The sequence below is a fragment of the Homo sapiens genome, chromosome 17 (assembly GCF_000001405.40).
Source record: "Homo sapiens chromosome 17, GRCh38.p14 Primary Assembly".
Taxonomy (NCBI): Eukaryota; Metazoa; Chordata; class Mammalia; order Primates; family Hominidae; genus Homo; species Homo sapiens.
Window position 1 is genome coordinate 69,993,922 of NC_000017.11, and position 16,390 is coordinate 70,010,311.

General features: G+C 37.1%; 1 long non-coding RNA gene across 1 annotated transcript in view; it reads right to left on the reverse strand.

Annotated features, from left to right (window-relative positions):
* Positions 1-1,970: 1,970 nt before the first annotated feature.
* The window catches only part of LOC105371881 (uncharacterized), a 78,916-nt gene continuing 64,496 nt past the window's right edge, over positions 1,971-16,390 (reverse strand). The window contains exons 2-3 of the long non-coding RNA XR_934952.3: positions 2,826-2,916; positions 1,971-2,304 (exon numbers count right to left, since the gene is read on the reverse strand). This is a non-coding gene — a long non-coding RNA (uncharacterized LOC105371881). The remainder of the gene's footprint in view (positions 2,305-2,825; positions 2,917-16,390) is intronic.

The window sequence follows — 16,390 nt, forward strand, 5'->3', positions numbered from 1 at the left end:
TATTAATTATAAAAGGTTAATAAATAATGCAATATGGAAAAATGAAATACTCATTTATATTAGTTTTCTATTGTTACATAACAAATTACCAAACTTTATGACTTAAGACACGTTTATTATCTCACAGGTTCAGTAGGTAGGGGATCTAGGTGTGGCTTAGCTGGGTCTTTTGGAAAGGATCCGTCTAGAATCAAGGTGTCTGCCAGACTGAAAAAAAAAGGAAATTCTGCCATTTGCAACAACATGCATGAAACTTGAGGGCATTATGCTTAGTGAAATAAGTCAAGCAGATAAAGAAAAACACTGTATGATCTCATTTATATGTGAAATCTAAAAAAAATCAAACTCAAAGAAACAAAAAGTAGAATGGTGGTTGCCAGGGGGTGGGGGGTGGGGAAACGAGGAGATGTTGGTCACAGGGTACAAACTGTCAGATATGAGATAACTAAGTTCTACAGGCCTAATGTATAGCATGGTAATTATAGTTAATACTGTATCCTATACTTGAAATTTGCTAAAAGTGTAGATCTTAAATGTTCTCACCACACACACACACACACACACACACACACGGTAACTCACAGTAACTATGTGAGGTGATGGATGTGTTATTTTGAATATATGTTCCCACCAAATCTCATGTTGAATTGTGATCCTCAGTGCTAGAGGTGTTTGGTACTGTCCTTATGATAGTGAATGAGTTCTCATTTCTCGTAAGATCTGGCTGTTTGAAAGTGTGTGGCATCTTCCCACACAGACTGTCTCTCTTGCTCCTGCTCTGGCCATGAGATGTGCCTGTTTCAACTTTACCTTCAGCCTTGAGTAAAAGCTCCCAGAGGCCTCACCAGAAGCTGAGCAGATGCCAATGCCATGCTTGTACAGCCTGCAGAACTGTGAGCAAATTAAAACTCTTTTCTTTGTAAATTACCAAGTCTCAGCTATTTATTTTCTTTTTCTTTTTCTTTTTCTTTTTCTTTTTGAGATGGAGTCTCACTCTGTCTCTGATCTGGAGTGTGTGACACGATCTCAGCTCACTGCAACCTCCACCTCCCAGGTTCAAGTGAAAGCTGCCTCACCCTCCCGAGTAGCTGGGATTACATGTGCCCACCACCATGCCTGGCTATTTTTTTTTTGTATTTTTAGTAGAGATGGGGTTTCACCACGTTGGCCAGGCTAGTCTCGAACTCCTGACCTCAAGTGATGTGCTCACCTTGGCCTCCCAAAAGTGTTGGGGTTACAGGCATGTGCCACTATGCCCAGCCTTTAGCTGTTTCTTTACAGAAATGCAAGAATAGCCTAACACAGTTAATTAACTTAATTGTAGTAATCATGTCACAGTATCTCTATATATCCGATCATCACATTATATATTTTAAATTTTTATGATTTAATTTGTCAACTATGTCTCCATAAAACTGAAAAAAACTCACAATTAATTACAAGAACAACAGCAAAAGCTCTTGGCTGGAGCTGGATTCTCATCAGAAAGCTTGACTGGGGATGGATCCACTGCAAAACCGACTCAGGTTGTTGGCAGGATTCATCATTTTGTGGTTGTAAACTGAGGTTTCTGGCTTTTTGCTGACTGTTAGCCAGGAGTTCCAAGAGGCTGCTGGCAGTTGCTTGCCACATGGCTCTCTCCCCAAACCTCTTACAACAAGGCAGGTCATTCCTTCAAAGCAAGCAAGAGAGAAAGTCTCCAGCATGAGCCTGCTAGCAGGGCAGCTTTATGTAATGCAAGATAATCACAGGAGTGACATCAGCACCTTTATCATATGAATGACATAATCACAGTAGTGACAGCCTATTACCTTTGCAATTTTATTCGTTAGAGGCTAGTCTCAGATCCTGCCTACACTCGATGGGGGCAGATTTCACAAAGGCATGGATACCTGGAGGCAGGGATCATGGGGGCTTCCTTAGAGTCTGTGCACCACACTATTCATTATTAGGTCTCTGAAATTTAAATATTTACATCAGAGTATTTTTTTATTCAGTTCATTAAACACAGATTTTAGGTATCTGCCACATCTCTGCAAAGTGTAAAATATACACAGCAGTATATTTATCAGCCCAAACTGGGTATCTGGCCCAGATTATTTTCCTCTAAAGCAAGATGAAGTTTCTTTTAGTTTCAATGAAGTTGGGTAGTCAGAGTGAGTGTTGTCTTCTGAGTGAGCTATCTTGGGATTGCTCTTCTGTATCTAGTCTATCACTCTCCATCTTGCTCTGTACCCTGGAAGGCTGACCTGTATAGTCTCCATTAAGTCTTCTGAAATCCAGTTGTGTTCGGCCAATGGGAGCCTACAATTGAAGAGAAAAGAGTAAGGTCACTTTATCTAACCCCTAAGCCCCTCTCTGCGGGGTCAACTGAGGCTGCCTGTGTCCCTCTCCTGAGCATTATCTTCTTTTTATGGCAGTTCCTCTACAGGAGTCTCTCCTGCCAGGATCCAGTAACACCTCTCTTCCTTTGTTATTTAGGCCTAGGGATAACAACAATGTGGGCATTACTAGCCCTAGGCTACCACTGTGTTTTAGTTTTTACCTCTGTTTTTTTATTTCTCTGAACTCTTCCCATAATTTTGCTAATAGTTTCTTTATTAAATCTTCCTCAAGTCCATTGAATATGGTCTTGTTTTTTTCTTGCTGGGACACTAACAGATATGCCACCCAAAGAGTTAATGTCCTATGAGCACAGCAGTTAGTTCATAAGGAATAATCAAAACATGGTTGTTGAATGAATGAGGAAAAGAATGACTCTTCGCCAGTAAATGTGACCTTTTTCCCATTTGATAATTCAATGTGTTTTGAGGGGCTTCCTTTACCTTGCACAGTTCTGGTAACAAGAGCCAATGTGATGATCCATATTTCCTGGAAATGCTTCCCACAGGTCTGGGATTATAAATGTTGTTTATTCTGGAATGAAGAAGAGCATTGGTTTTCTTCTTTCTCTCTTACTCTTAGCCAAAAGATATGCATGGGGTCAAAAGCAGCAAGATGGGTACATTTACAACAGGATCTCAGAGTTAATTTCTGAATTTAGTAATGTCTTAATATACATCTGTGGTAGGAAAAGCAACAATGCAGAAGCAAAGATTACAACACTAATGGAGAGTTACTGCAATGTGATGGAAAAAGATAAAATAAGTATGAATATTGGATAAAGCTAAGATTTTAAAAAATAGGCACTCTATCAGGAAAATCTAAGTAAAAACATGTGAGATTATGGAACAAACGCTCAAGGAAGTATAAAGCGTTTGATTTTTAAAGATAACCAAAAAGACATTTGGCTGGGTATCCAATATTGAGTGTTGACAAATGGGAAAATATAAGGGATTAAATCAATAATTTTGACATCTTGGTATGGCTGGTTTATAGGACTATTTCATTGTGTTCTGGTATCAATATTTGGCCACTGCTGTCTTATCAATAAGATATCATTGAGATGTCTCAACCATTTGTTTTAATCACACAGGCATGAGTTATCATGGCTTCCAATAGGAAATAAGCAGCTGTCAGACTTCTGGACTTTGTCTTCATTCCTTTCTCTTATTAGTTTTGACATTACAGACACAAGATATCCTGGATGGACCAAGGACTTTGGAGTATGAATACCATTCCTAGACATAGAATCATTTTGTTTGTTTATTTGCCAGCTCATGGGCCCCATAGAGTTCCTCTCTGTTAGTCTACTTCCTGTTCTACTGTAAAAGTAGGACACAGGATGACATGCCTGAAAATCTACTCCTCTGAGTTTTAAAAGGGTAAGAACCCAACTCAGATACTATTCATAGGGATCCTTGGTTTTAAGCTGTACTTTGTACACTTGGTTTTATGTAATTTTTAAAGAAGAAAATGCATTTGCCTACTTACCTCTACCAGGACTCAATTAGTTACTTATGACATTACACGTGCACAGAATGTTCTGTTTATGAACATCTTCAGAGAACTTTACTAATTTTTAATTCCTATTTTTGAAATCTTGGTGGAAATCACAAGTTCTAGTAGCAGTTGTGGCAGAGATACAAGAAATACAGGGTTGAACCCATGGGCTAGAGACTTGTGTTCCAGACCTAGATCTGCCACCAACTGACTGCAGACCATTGATCACATTACATCTGTGGGTTCCATTCTCTTCTTCTGAAAAGGTAACATACAAAAATAAAAAGTTTGCATGCATAATCACTGTGATCCATATAGTTTTAAGATTCTCTAATGCATACCCTAATTTTCACTTGCTCAAAATACATATAAAACTTCTGAATTAACCTAATTTGAAATATTTATTGAACATTTACTTTATTCAGAGATAGGTGTGGGTAATACACATAGAATAAAATAACGTAGTTATTAAGCTTTTTTTGTTTTGTTTTGTGTTGTGTTGTTTTGTTTTGCTTTGTTTTTGAGGCAGAGTCTCACTCTGTCACCCAGGCTGGCATGCAATGGCGTGGTCGTGGCTCATTGCAACCTGTGCCTCCTGGGTTCAAGTGATTCTCCTGCCTCAACCTCCCCAGTAGCTGGGGCTACAGGCGCCCACCACCACACCCGGCTAATTTTTGTATTTTTAGTAGAGATGGGGTTTCACTATGTTGGCCAGGCTGGTCTTGAACTCCTGACCTCGTCATCTGCCCACCTCGACCTCCCAAAATGCTGGGATTACAGGCATGAGCCACCGCACCTGGCCTGAGTTTTGTTTTTTTAATGCACACTCTATAAACATAATGACCACATTTTAGGAACTTCTATGATTGGTTAAGGAGAAAGGGCATGTTCAAAAATAAACCTGATGCTTGACAGGGACTGAAAAGGGAGACCAGGATTATAATCCAAAGCCATAAAAATATTTTTGTGTCTAGGAACCTATCGTAAGAAATGCAATAATAGCTAATATGTAACTTTTTCTCTGTGCCAGACCCAGGCCAAGTGCTTCTCATAACTTAAAACAATGTTATTAAGTGAGTACTATTATTTACTTCATTCTACAGACTACCAAAGAGTATCACAGACATTAGTTAATTCATTCGGGATGGAATCAAGATGCTAATTCAGGCTACTGTCTGATAGTGAATTCACTTCTTTTTAGATTTAATAAAGATGCTTGATGTATTCCAAAAAAAAAATGAAATAGTTTTTAACAAGTGACATCTAAGAAAACTTTAAACAGTCTATATTTTTGGTCCTTACAATGTTTTTCAAATGTTTTTGTCCCATGACCATCTGTATGAGAATCACTCAAGTGGATTTGTTAAAAATATAGATTATTGGGTCCTTCCCCTAACTTATTAAATCAAAATTCTGAGATTGGGTAAGAAAATCTGAATTTTTAACAATCATTTTGGTTTATTCCGATGTACATCAAAGTGGAGCATAAATTCTAAAGGGAAAGATTAGATTTCATTAGATGACTAAGTTGGACAACAATTGTAGATGGACAGAATATAGACAAAGGTATGGCAGCTGAAAATATGGCATGCTGGGGATTTGAAAGCAAAAGTTTCCTGGGGTGTGGGGTGCATATAAGGAAGTAGCAAGATATAAGCCTTGAAAAAGTACAGGTCAAACTTCATTGAGCCTTGAGTAAAGTTGTTAGGACTTTGAACTTTCTAGGCTTTATTTGAATTGAACTATTTGGTGTTTGGGGGTAGGAAAATAGCCTATTAAAGCAGAATTTTGGCAAACTTGTCTTGTAGCCATTAAGTTGGTTGGAATGTGGATGGATTGCCAAGTGCTGACATAATTAAGCCTCTTATTTAATGCCTGGATTAATTAATATACATCACCTGATGATACTGAGTACCCAGCTATGAAAAGATTAAAGTAAAATACATTGTGGGAAAACAAAATACAACAAAATTCTGTGTAGACATTTCCTGAGTATAGATGTTGAGAGAGGAGTCCAAAAGACAAGAGCTTGGGTATCTGAGTGTCTGGACCAATGCAGCATCATTTAGTAGGAAGAGATGAATCTGAAGGAGACGCTGGTTTAATGCCAGGTGGTGGAGAATTCATTTTTACAAGTGTTGTGGTACCAGCAAAACACTCGGATCTTCAGGTCTTTAGGCAATTGGGAATTCAAGACTGAATTGAAGGTAAAATGTCACAGCCTGAGGCATAGATTTGGATGTGCTGGTGTTACTGATGGAAGGAGAACACTGAAGGTCAAGGAGCAAATAAAACACTTAGAAGATGAGAGAAACAAATAAAAGAGCAGCGCCTGGGGAACAGATATTGTGGAGAAGAGACTGAGGAAAAAAATGAACATTATTCTCAGTAAGAGCTGGATGAACTTATAGCCTGAAGTGACTCTGGTATAGTCTCATCTTAAATAGGGAAATATATACATAAACATCTTAAAATATTACCAGTGACCAGCATTATTTGTATTTCCAGAGAATTTATGGTTAAAATTAGGATCAAAGAATTTCCTACTATGGTGGTTATAAAGAAAGAAATGGACGTTACGTGTCTTCATAATCCCTCTTTAGATTACAGATCTATAGATCTTTAGATTCTCTATTGAATAATAAATTAAGTAGCGTTTGAACAAACCTAGCAAGCAAAGCACATATATCATTAAAATTATTCGATTCCCAGAGTACCAGTTATACTACTCTCAACCTAAAGGGTTCTCAGCAGTTTGTAACTGGTGACAAAAGCCTCTGCCTGAGTCAGGCACTACTTGAGAACAACTATAAAACATTCAAAAATAAAGTCTCGGCTGGGCGCAGTGGCCTGCAATCCCAGCACTTTGGGAGGCTGAGGCGGGTGGATCACCTGAGGTCAGGAGTTCAAGACCAGCCTGGGCAACATGAAAAACCCCATCTTTACTAAAAGTACAAAAATTAGCCTGGCGTGGTGGCACGTGCCTGTAATCCCAGCTACTCAGGAGGCTGAGGCAGAAGAATTGCTTGAACACAGGAGGCGGGGGTTGCAGTGAGCCAATATCATGCCATTGCACTCCAGCCTGAGCAACAAAAGCAAGACTCCATCTAAATAAATAAATAAATAAATAAATAAAAAATAAAGTCTCATTTTCCTGCATCATGAAGAGTCCTTCTCTGAAAATATCTTATTGCTGAGAACTTCCTTAAATGTGTTCTCAAGTTCAACCTGAAAGCGGAACAAGGTAAAAGTGTTTGTGTGTGTGTGTGTATGTATGTGTGTGTGTGTGTATAAAATATGTATTTATATATGCATACATACATATACATGTATGTATATATGTGCGTGTGTATATATATATATGTGTTGATATATATGTATATTGAAAACAAAAGGGAGGCCAATTTGATAGAAATATCAGAAAGGTCAAGCTCAGATGGCTCCAGCTTTTAACAAGGAGGATTTAGCAAGATCTTTTTCCTTAGAACCAGTTTCCTTTCACTGACTCTGCCTCTGGGCACACAAAAGCGTGCTGCCATGCAATGGGGAGTTAGTGTATTTGTGCATGGGGGTAAGGCTGCCTTTGATAAATATAAAACCCCATCATTATCTCATTTTGGTATCTTCTGAGATTTTCCTAAACAGATGTCATGGAAAATTCACTGGGAAAGAACATAACTTGTTACAAAAGTAACCCACAGATTTTATCTTTCTCTTTTGCCTTAAAAGTTCAAAGTTTGGAGAAAACGACTTAATTGAGATAACTTTAATAAGAAAAAGAACAGAAGGGTAATTCGTGTGGCACTGACTGGGTAGTAGTAAATGAACTGTGTTGGATGGAAATTTAAATATCCTAAACGTCCTGTGATAGTGTGTGGCACTTTAAAAGTATTCCATTTTCTTAAAGTCTTCATCATTCTCATTTTGATTGTTGCTGCGCTTCATGTATTAGGAAAATGCTGCTATGAACAGAATGGTAAGTTTGAGTTCATTTTTCCAAATGATGGCCTGACTTTTAAACGAACTATTTGCGGACTTGATACCAAAAAGGATGCATTTGCAAACAGTGAATTGACTTCAAGTCTATGACAAAGGGTAAAGAGATTGTTATTTGTCTATTAAAGAATCAAATCTTTGACTTTAATCATCATTTAAGTGCTTATTGAACTTGTTACTAAAATAAGGAAGTACTTCTAAAGGCCTGTATACTGACTGGAAAAGAGTTTATGGTAAAGCTACAACCATTAGTATGGAGCAATAAGTAGTCACTTGTGATATGCCTTCAAGATGTGGTTTCTCTCAGAATCCAAGCCTGGGTGATCTTGCAAGGCATCTGAGAATCAGCTTAATAATTTTTCCTTGGAACATTCTAAATAAATGCCCTAACCACTATCCATCTATTATAATGCTTAAAACAAAGATAGTACGAATGAATAGTGAGGATGTGAAGCAACAGGAACTCTTGTATGTTGTTCATGGGAATGCAAAATGGTACAGTCACTTTGGAAAATGGGTTGGCAGTTTCTTATAGAGTCATACATACATTTACCTATGACCCAGCAATTTTACTCTTTGGTATTTACCCAAGAAAAAAGAAAATTTAGTAAAAACTTGTACATGAATGGTTGCAGCAACTATATTCATTACTGCTAAAATCTGGAAACAATCCAAATGTTTTTCAATTGTTGAATGGATAAACAAACCATGAGATATCCATGCAATTAAATTAATTGACTAAGCAACAAGGGTGAATCCCAAATGCTTTCTTCTAAGTGAAACAAAATAGACCCAAGAGGCTACACATATACTGAATAATTCAATTTATATGACATTCTGGAAATGTCAAAAAAATGATGAGGAAGGAGAACAGATCAATGGTTGCCTGGGGTTGGGAATGGAGGACGAGTTGACTGAAAAAGGAGAATGTGTGGGATTTTGGGGAGTGCTGAAACCATTGTGAATCAAATCCCGTGGATCTGTACACCACAAAGAGTGAATTTTACTATATGTAAATTTTAAAATAAAGAAAGATATATAAATAGAAACACCAAAGATTTCATCCATAATATTTCACTATGTAACTGGAATTGTAATCCAGTAAAATAGCTACAACTAATGTATACAATCATTTCTAAGAAAACTGAGGAGAAGTTGATGCTAGGAAGAGCAGCAGAATGCTAGGCTTCATTTATTTTCCTTCCTTCCCTTCCTTCCTTCCTTCCCTTCCTTCCTTCCTTCCTTCCTTCCTTCCTTCCTTCCTTCCTTCCTTCCTTCCTTTCTTTCTCTCTTTTCCTTTTTTGAGATAATGTCTCACTCTGTTACCCAGGCTGAGTGCAGTAGCACAATCACAACTCACTGCAGCCTCAAACTCCCGGGCTTAGGTGGTCCTCCTGCCTCTCGGCCTCCCAAAGTGCTGGGATTACAGGCATGAGCCACCTCTTCTGGCCTTGATTCTTCATTAAATATAGCCGCCTCACATAGAGTGCTTTTGGTGGGTATTTTTTTGTGTACTTCCACTGGTCTCTGGGCCATGTACCTACTTTCTGCTGCACATCCACTAAGAAGCTCTAGTTGCTTCACACTTCAACTTAATAATGATCAGCAGATCACCAAGTCTCCGGAGAAAAGGGTTAGACCACTTGTTAAGTCAACAAACACATATTTAGTGTTTATCAGATTCCTAAACACTTTTCTAGGCGGTGGAGATTCATCAGCTTAAATGCATAGAATTCACCCTCTCCCCAGCAGCTTTAATTTGGTATTTATAGCATTCAGTAGTTAAAAATCTTCACCTTGGACTTGTTTACCTACCAATTACTGCACACTTTCAAATTGGGCTGAATTTCAACTGGTAATTAAAGTTGATTTTGAAAGCATAAAAAGGCAGTGTTAAAAAATCCCAGTATCAACTGGGTGGCCTCAGTCATTTTCAGTGTTGTTGCTCAAGTTTGTGACTCAAAAGCACTTGGTACTCCACAAGTTGAAATTCTGGGAACTGCTTGACAATTTCAGTTAGCTATAAAATTTTGGGTAACAAGCATTAATTTGTTTATTTGAAGATAATATATAGAAATGAGAAGTGCTGCTTGTGAGATCCTGGGGGGACACTAGGTAAGAACATTCCATCTTTTAGGAACAAACTATTAATATGTAACAGATATGTTAACAATTATTTAGCCAGGCAAAACTATTCTGAGTGCACGGGAGTTAGCAGTTCTCTACACCTTTGAGAAAGGACTTAGAATGACAAGAATCCATTTTTCCATCCTAGATGAGAGTCTGTGCAGGAATTGATTTAAAAAAAAAAACACACTAAGGGGGTATATTAAGGACACATTAAGTTCCTATTGCTGCGGTAACAAATTACTACAAACTTAATGGATTAGAAAAACCTAAACCTATTAACTTATATTTTTGTAGGTCAGAAGTCTGAAGTGGGCTTCACTGAGCTAAAACCAAGGTGTTGGCAGTGCTGCATTCTTTTCTGGAGGCTATGGGAGTTAATCTGTCTTCTTGCCTTTCAGTTGCTAGCAACCTTTTGCATTCCTTGGCTTATGACCCTCTTCCATATTCAAAGTCAGCAATGGCCAGCCAGTCGTCTTTCTCACATTACAGCATTCTGATGTTGACTCCTCTGCCTTTCTTGTCCATATTTAAGAACACTGTGATTATGGTGAACACACCTGGATAGTCCAGGATAATCAGCTGATCAACCAGTTTGATTCCATCTGCTATCTTAATTTCCCTTTGTCATGTAATGTAACATATTCCCCAATTCTGGAGATTAGGACATGGGCATTATTGGGAATATATATATACACACACATATACATATATGTACATATATACATACATATATATACATATACATACGTGTGTGTGTGTGCGCGTGTGTGTGTGTGTGTGTTTGTGTATGTATTTGAGACAGAGTTTAGCTTTTGTTGCCCAGGCTGGAGTGCAATGGCGTGATCTTGGCTCACTGCAACCTCCACCTTCCAGGTTCAAGGGATTCTCCTGACTCAGCCTCCTGACTAGCTGGGATTACAGGAGCCCGCCACCATGCCTGGCTAATTTTTCATACTTTTAATAGAGATGGGGTTTCACCATATTGATCAGGGTGGTCTTGAACTCCTGACCTCAGGTGATCCACCCGCCTCGGCCTCCCAAAGTGCTAGGATTACAGGCGTGAGCCACTGAACCTGGCCAATTGCGAATATGTTATTCTGCCTCCAATTCATTAAGAATTGTCACTCTCTGTGATAACATGTAACATTGGTTGATGTGTTAATCCTAAGCCAAGAAAAAGTTGAAAATAATGCCAGGATGTTGACTGGCTTCATTAAGGTCTTTTATTTTATGCTGCATGAAATATGTTAAGACACTTCCCATGTAGGTCACCCTTTAAAAAAGTAAGCAAGTCAATGGACGACAGAATACAAACAACCTAAAGTTAGTTATCTATTCTCTCACCCTTCCCAGGCAGCTCATTCACCACCAAAACAAGATCATTGACCTCCAGTTCCATTTTGTCCTTAACTGATGGCACGTTAAGGAGTCTGTTCGCAATTAGGACAACGTTCCAATTTCTTTGTTTCAACACTAATAAAGTGGTCTTTCTTACATCTTTCTTGCAAGAATTGCATAAAGCTCTTGCTTGAGAGGAAACTTGGTTTTTGTAAGGCTTCTGCATTTGATACCTGATGGGATTTCCTGGTTTGAGGAAATTTTAACCAGATTTAGCTTTTTGATTTTCATTTTTCAAAACAGCAATTTAAAACAACACAAATGAGAACCATGAGTATTTCACTATTTTACTTTGTTGTGAGGAATTCAAAAAGAATGAATGTTTCTTAATAAAACGCAAATTATTTAAGTTTAATTTGGATTTCTTAGCCAATTACCAATTTTTCTCATCCTAAGGGAGTTCACTTGGGAGCCCTCAAACTGTATTGGAGTTTTTCGATTTTGTGACTTAAAAAAACGAAAAAAAAAAAAAACTTAGCAAAGAGTGATTTCATGCTTTAAAAGACGATGAAAAATGGTTGTGAAATTAACTCAAGGTTTTTCAGACATCAAACAGTTTTGATTTTCTTTATTTCTGACCCCATAAATATTTTCATGTGCTAAGTGCGCAAGCATCAAAAACATATAAATTAAAATAAATGTTCACTATTGAACAAAAAAGGAAAGGGCTTAGCAAAACGTGATGCCTCTGAATAGACAAGACTGGTCAGGACCAAGGGCCACCAGCTTTCAGGAATTTGTTCTGAAGTCAGTCAGATGATTCAGATTATCAAGGTAGATATTACAATTTAACCATGAAAAATCTGAGCTTTTGCCCTTATTCTTTAGAAATAAGTCCCCAGAGTTTTAGCTAGGATTATAAATATCTTAAATAAGACAATTCTTCCAAGATTCCTTTGCAGTTAGTGTGCACCAGTAACAAAGTTCGGCCAGTGATATATAAATGAAAGCAATGGTGTAACTTCCTGGAAGGAAGAGACATGTTCTTTTCCCTTTCTTTTCTCCTCCCTCAGGAGCTGCAACAATCAGTTTGGACCAAGGTGTAGAGAATGGTAGTGTTGCAAGATTGAAGGAACTTAAGTGCATGAGGATTAAGTCACTGTTATATTTTCTATTACTCATAACCAAACCGGATTTAACTAATTCAGTTAGCTACTCTGAAAACTAACAATATCTTAAAAGTCCGCTGTGAGGACGAAATGAGATCATGTAGGTAAACCATCTATCTTACTGGAATGTCTACAGAAGGTAAAATAAATGTTAATTATCTTCTCTTTTCCATGATAACTGAAGTTTTAAAGACCTTCATCCGTGAAAATATCTCAATGAGAATGATCTTCAAAGTTAATGGAAAGCAATATTTTTGACTTGGAGGTAGAGATGACTTTAGAAGGACAATAAAAAAACTTATTCTGTTTCTTAATTCATCCATTTACATAAATTTATTCAACATATTTTAAGTACTGATTATACTGCAAGCACTGTGCTAGGAATTATCATTTAAAGTAAAACTTACGTTTTGCCTGTGGTAAGCTCAAATTCCATCAAAAAGGCAGACAAGCAGTAATGAAGATATAGTATGACAAATACTATTGTTAGAAATATTCACAAAAACATACTATGGGAATAGAAAAGAAAGTAGCTCAGTCTGTCTGAGGAAGCAAGGAAGATTTTATGAAGGAGAAATTGAACAGAGAGCTAAAAGAGTGAATTGATATTTGGTAGGTAGTGAAGGGAAGAAAACTTTTTTTAAAAATAAAGAGAACACCATGTTGGAGCATGAAATGCATATTTAGTGGATAAGGGTGTAGTTTTGCAAGGCTGGTGTATTAGGTGTGGAAGTATTCTGAGATATGGCTAACCAGTAGGTTACCATCAGATTGTGACAGAAGATAGATCTAGTGGCAGCACAGAGAATACATTATCAGTTCATATATATGGGGCAACATGACCCCAATAGACCATATAGGGTATATATTCAGGGCATGGTAGAAAACTAATATTTCAGCAGAAATGGGAAAGGTGAAAATATTCAAGAAAACCTTGGAGATGAAATCAGCATTATTTGATGACTCTTTGAATGTTGTGGTAAAAGGGAAAAGTAAGTCTAGAGACCTCTTGGGTTACTAGACAAGCCAAGCCATGTAAAGCCATTAAGCAAAATAGAAAAGATGGAGACATGAAGGAAGATGTTTTTTAGATTAACTAGGTTATAATGAATTCTATTTGTCCATATGTCATTGAGGTGAAGATATTCAATTGAAAGTAGGTAAAATGAATCTGAAGTTCAGGGCTAATAATTTCTGAGTTGTATGAGGGTCTTTGACCAAATGGGGAGAGAGAGAGACCAGAGAAGGACTGTGATCTTCCAAGAAAAGCACTTTTAGAGTAAGACAGAAAAGCTGAATCCTGAGGAATACATTATTTAAGAAAGAAAGAAGCTAGGCATACCCAAAATTGGCTCAGAAATTAAGGAAGATAACAAGAAATGTTTTGAAGTTAAATTATGCAATGGAATGCTTCAATATTCAGAATATTACAGAATAGTATAGAAATTTGTATTAGACACCTCTGCACTTACCACTGAGGTTTAACAACTGTTCTAGAAATTTTACAGTTTTGGTTCTGAACATTTTGGCCTATTATCTATTTTGAGTTGTTTTTGTATATGATGTGTGATAAGACTTGAGTTTCTTTTTAAATTTTTAAATAGTTGTTTCAGCACAATTTGTAACAAAAATCATCTTATCCTCTGATGAAATACCTTGACACCTTCGTAGAAAATCAATTGACTACATATATGAATCTATTTTTTTGTACTTTCTGTTCTGTTTTGTTGATATCTGTATCTTTATACTAATAGTATGTTATCTGAGTTATTATAGCTTTATATTACAAGTTAAAATCTGGTGATTTAAGTCTTTGGACTTTTTAAACATATATATATATATATATATATATATATATTTGCTCCTCCAGGTTCTTCTGAAGGCCATATAAATTTTAGAATCAGTGTATCAACTTCTCAGAAAAATTTGTTGGGATGTAGGCTGGGCTAGCATTGAAATCTATGAATCAATTGGGTAATTGGGTAGAACATTTCTGTTTTAATATTGAAACTTCTCATAGAATGAACATAAAAAAATCTTTATTCAGAATTGCTAAGTAAAGCCACCTGAGCCAGGAAATTTCTTTATGGGAATATGTTTAGTTAGAAATTCATTTTGTTTAAATAGATAAATGGTTAGCTAGAGGTTTATTAATTTTATTACAGTTTTCAAAGAGCCAACTTCTGGCTTTGTCTATTTTTTCCCCTTTTTGTTTTCTATTTCATTGAATTCCATTCTTATGTTTATCATTTTCTTTTTTCTATTTACCTTGTATTGGCTCTTGCTTTTCTAGCTTCGTAAGCTGGAAGTTAGATTATTGATTTTAATCATTTTAAATTCTTAGGCATTGATTTTAAGTATTAAATGCTTAAAAGGTGGTATTATTTAAGGACATGCATTTTCCTCTAAACTCTGCTTTATCTGTGTCTCTCAATTTTTGATATGTCTTCTTTACTTTTATTTCAAGATATTTTCTAATTAATTTTGCTATTTTTTATTTGATCCATGGGTTATTTAGAAGGGTATTAATTAATTATCAAATATTTTAATTTTTCTAGATACCTAGATATTTTGTTATTATGACTATTGCTTTTCAATTTAATTTCATTGTTGTCACAGAGTATGCAATGTATTGGTAGGGCACGGTGGCTCACACCTGCAATACAAAGCACTTTGGGAGGCCGAGGCAGGCAGATCACTTGAGGTCAGGAGTTCGAGACCAACCCTGTCTCTGCTAAAAAATACAAAAAATTAGCTGGGCATGGTGGCAGGCACCTATAATCCCAGCTACTCAGGAGGCTGAGGCAGGAGAATCACTTGAACTTGGGAGGTGGAGGTTGCAGTAAGCAGAGATCGTGCCACTGTACTCCAGCCTGTCAACAGAAAAAAAGAAAAGAAAAGAAAAGATAAAAAACATGCAATGTATGATTTCAAACCTTTGAAAGTTATTAAGACTTGTTTTATTATCCTGCATATGGTGTTTGGTTCATGTGATCCAGTATATAGTTTATTTTGGTGATGTGGTTTGGATGTGTGTCCCCTCCAAATCTCATGTTGAAATGTGATCTCTAATGTTGGATGTGGGCCCTGGTGGGATGTCTTTGAATTATGGGGCCAGATCCCTCATGAATGGCTCGGTGCCTTCCCCATGGTAATGAGTTCACATGAGATCTGGTTGTTAAAAATAGTCTAGGAGCTCTCCTATCTCTTGCTCCCTCTCTCATCATGTGAGATGCCTGCTCCCCACTTTGCCTTCCACCATAAGTAAAAGCTTACTGAGGTTTCACTAGAAGCTGAGCAGATAAAGTTTCTGTGCTTGTATGGCCTGCAGAACCACAAGCCAAATAAACCTCCTTTCTTTATACATTATCCAGTATCAGTTATATCCTTTATAGCAACACAAAACAGTAAACAGAAAATTCATACTGAGGAGTGAGGCATTGCTATAAGATACCTGAAAGTGTGGAAGCAGAGACAGGGAGATGAGAGAAAGTTTGGAAATTCTTAGAGATTTTTAAGTGATTGTGACCAAAATGGTGGCAGAAATATGAACAGCGGAGGCCAGGCTGAGGAGGTCTCAGATGGAAATGAGGAATTTATTGGGACTGGGAATAAAGGTCATTCTTCTTAAGGCATAGCAAAGACCTTGACTGCATTGTATCTATGCTCTAGGGATTTGTGGAAGGTCAAGCTTAAGAATTATGACCTAGGGTGTCTGGTGGAAGAAATTTCTAAAGCGAAGTATTCAATATGTGGCACAGCTGCTTTTAATAGCCCATGATCAGACATGGGAGCAAAGACATGACTTAAAGTTGGAACTTCTAGTTAAAAGGGATGCAGAACATAAAAGCTTTAAAAATTTGCAGCCCGATCAC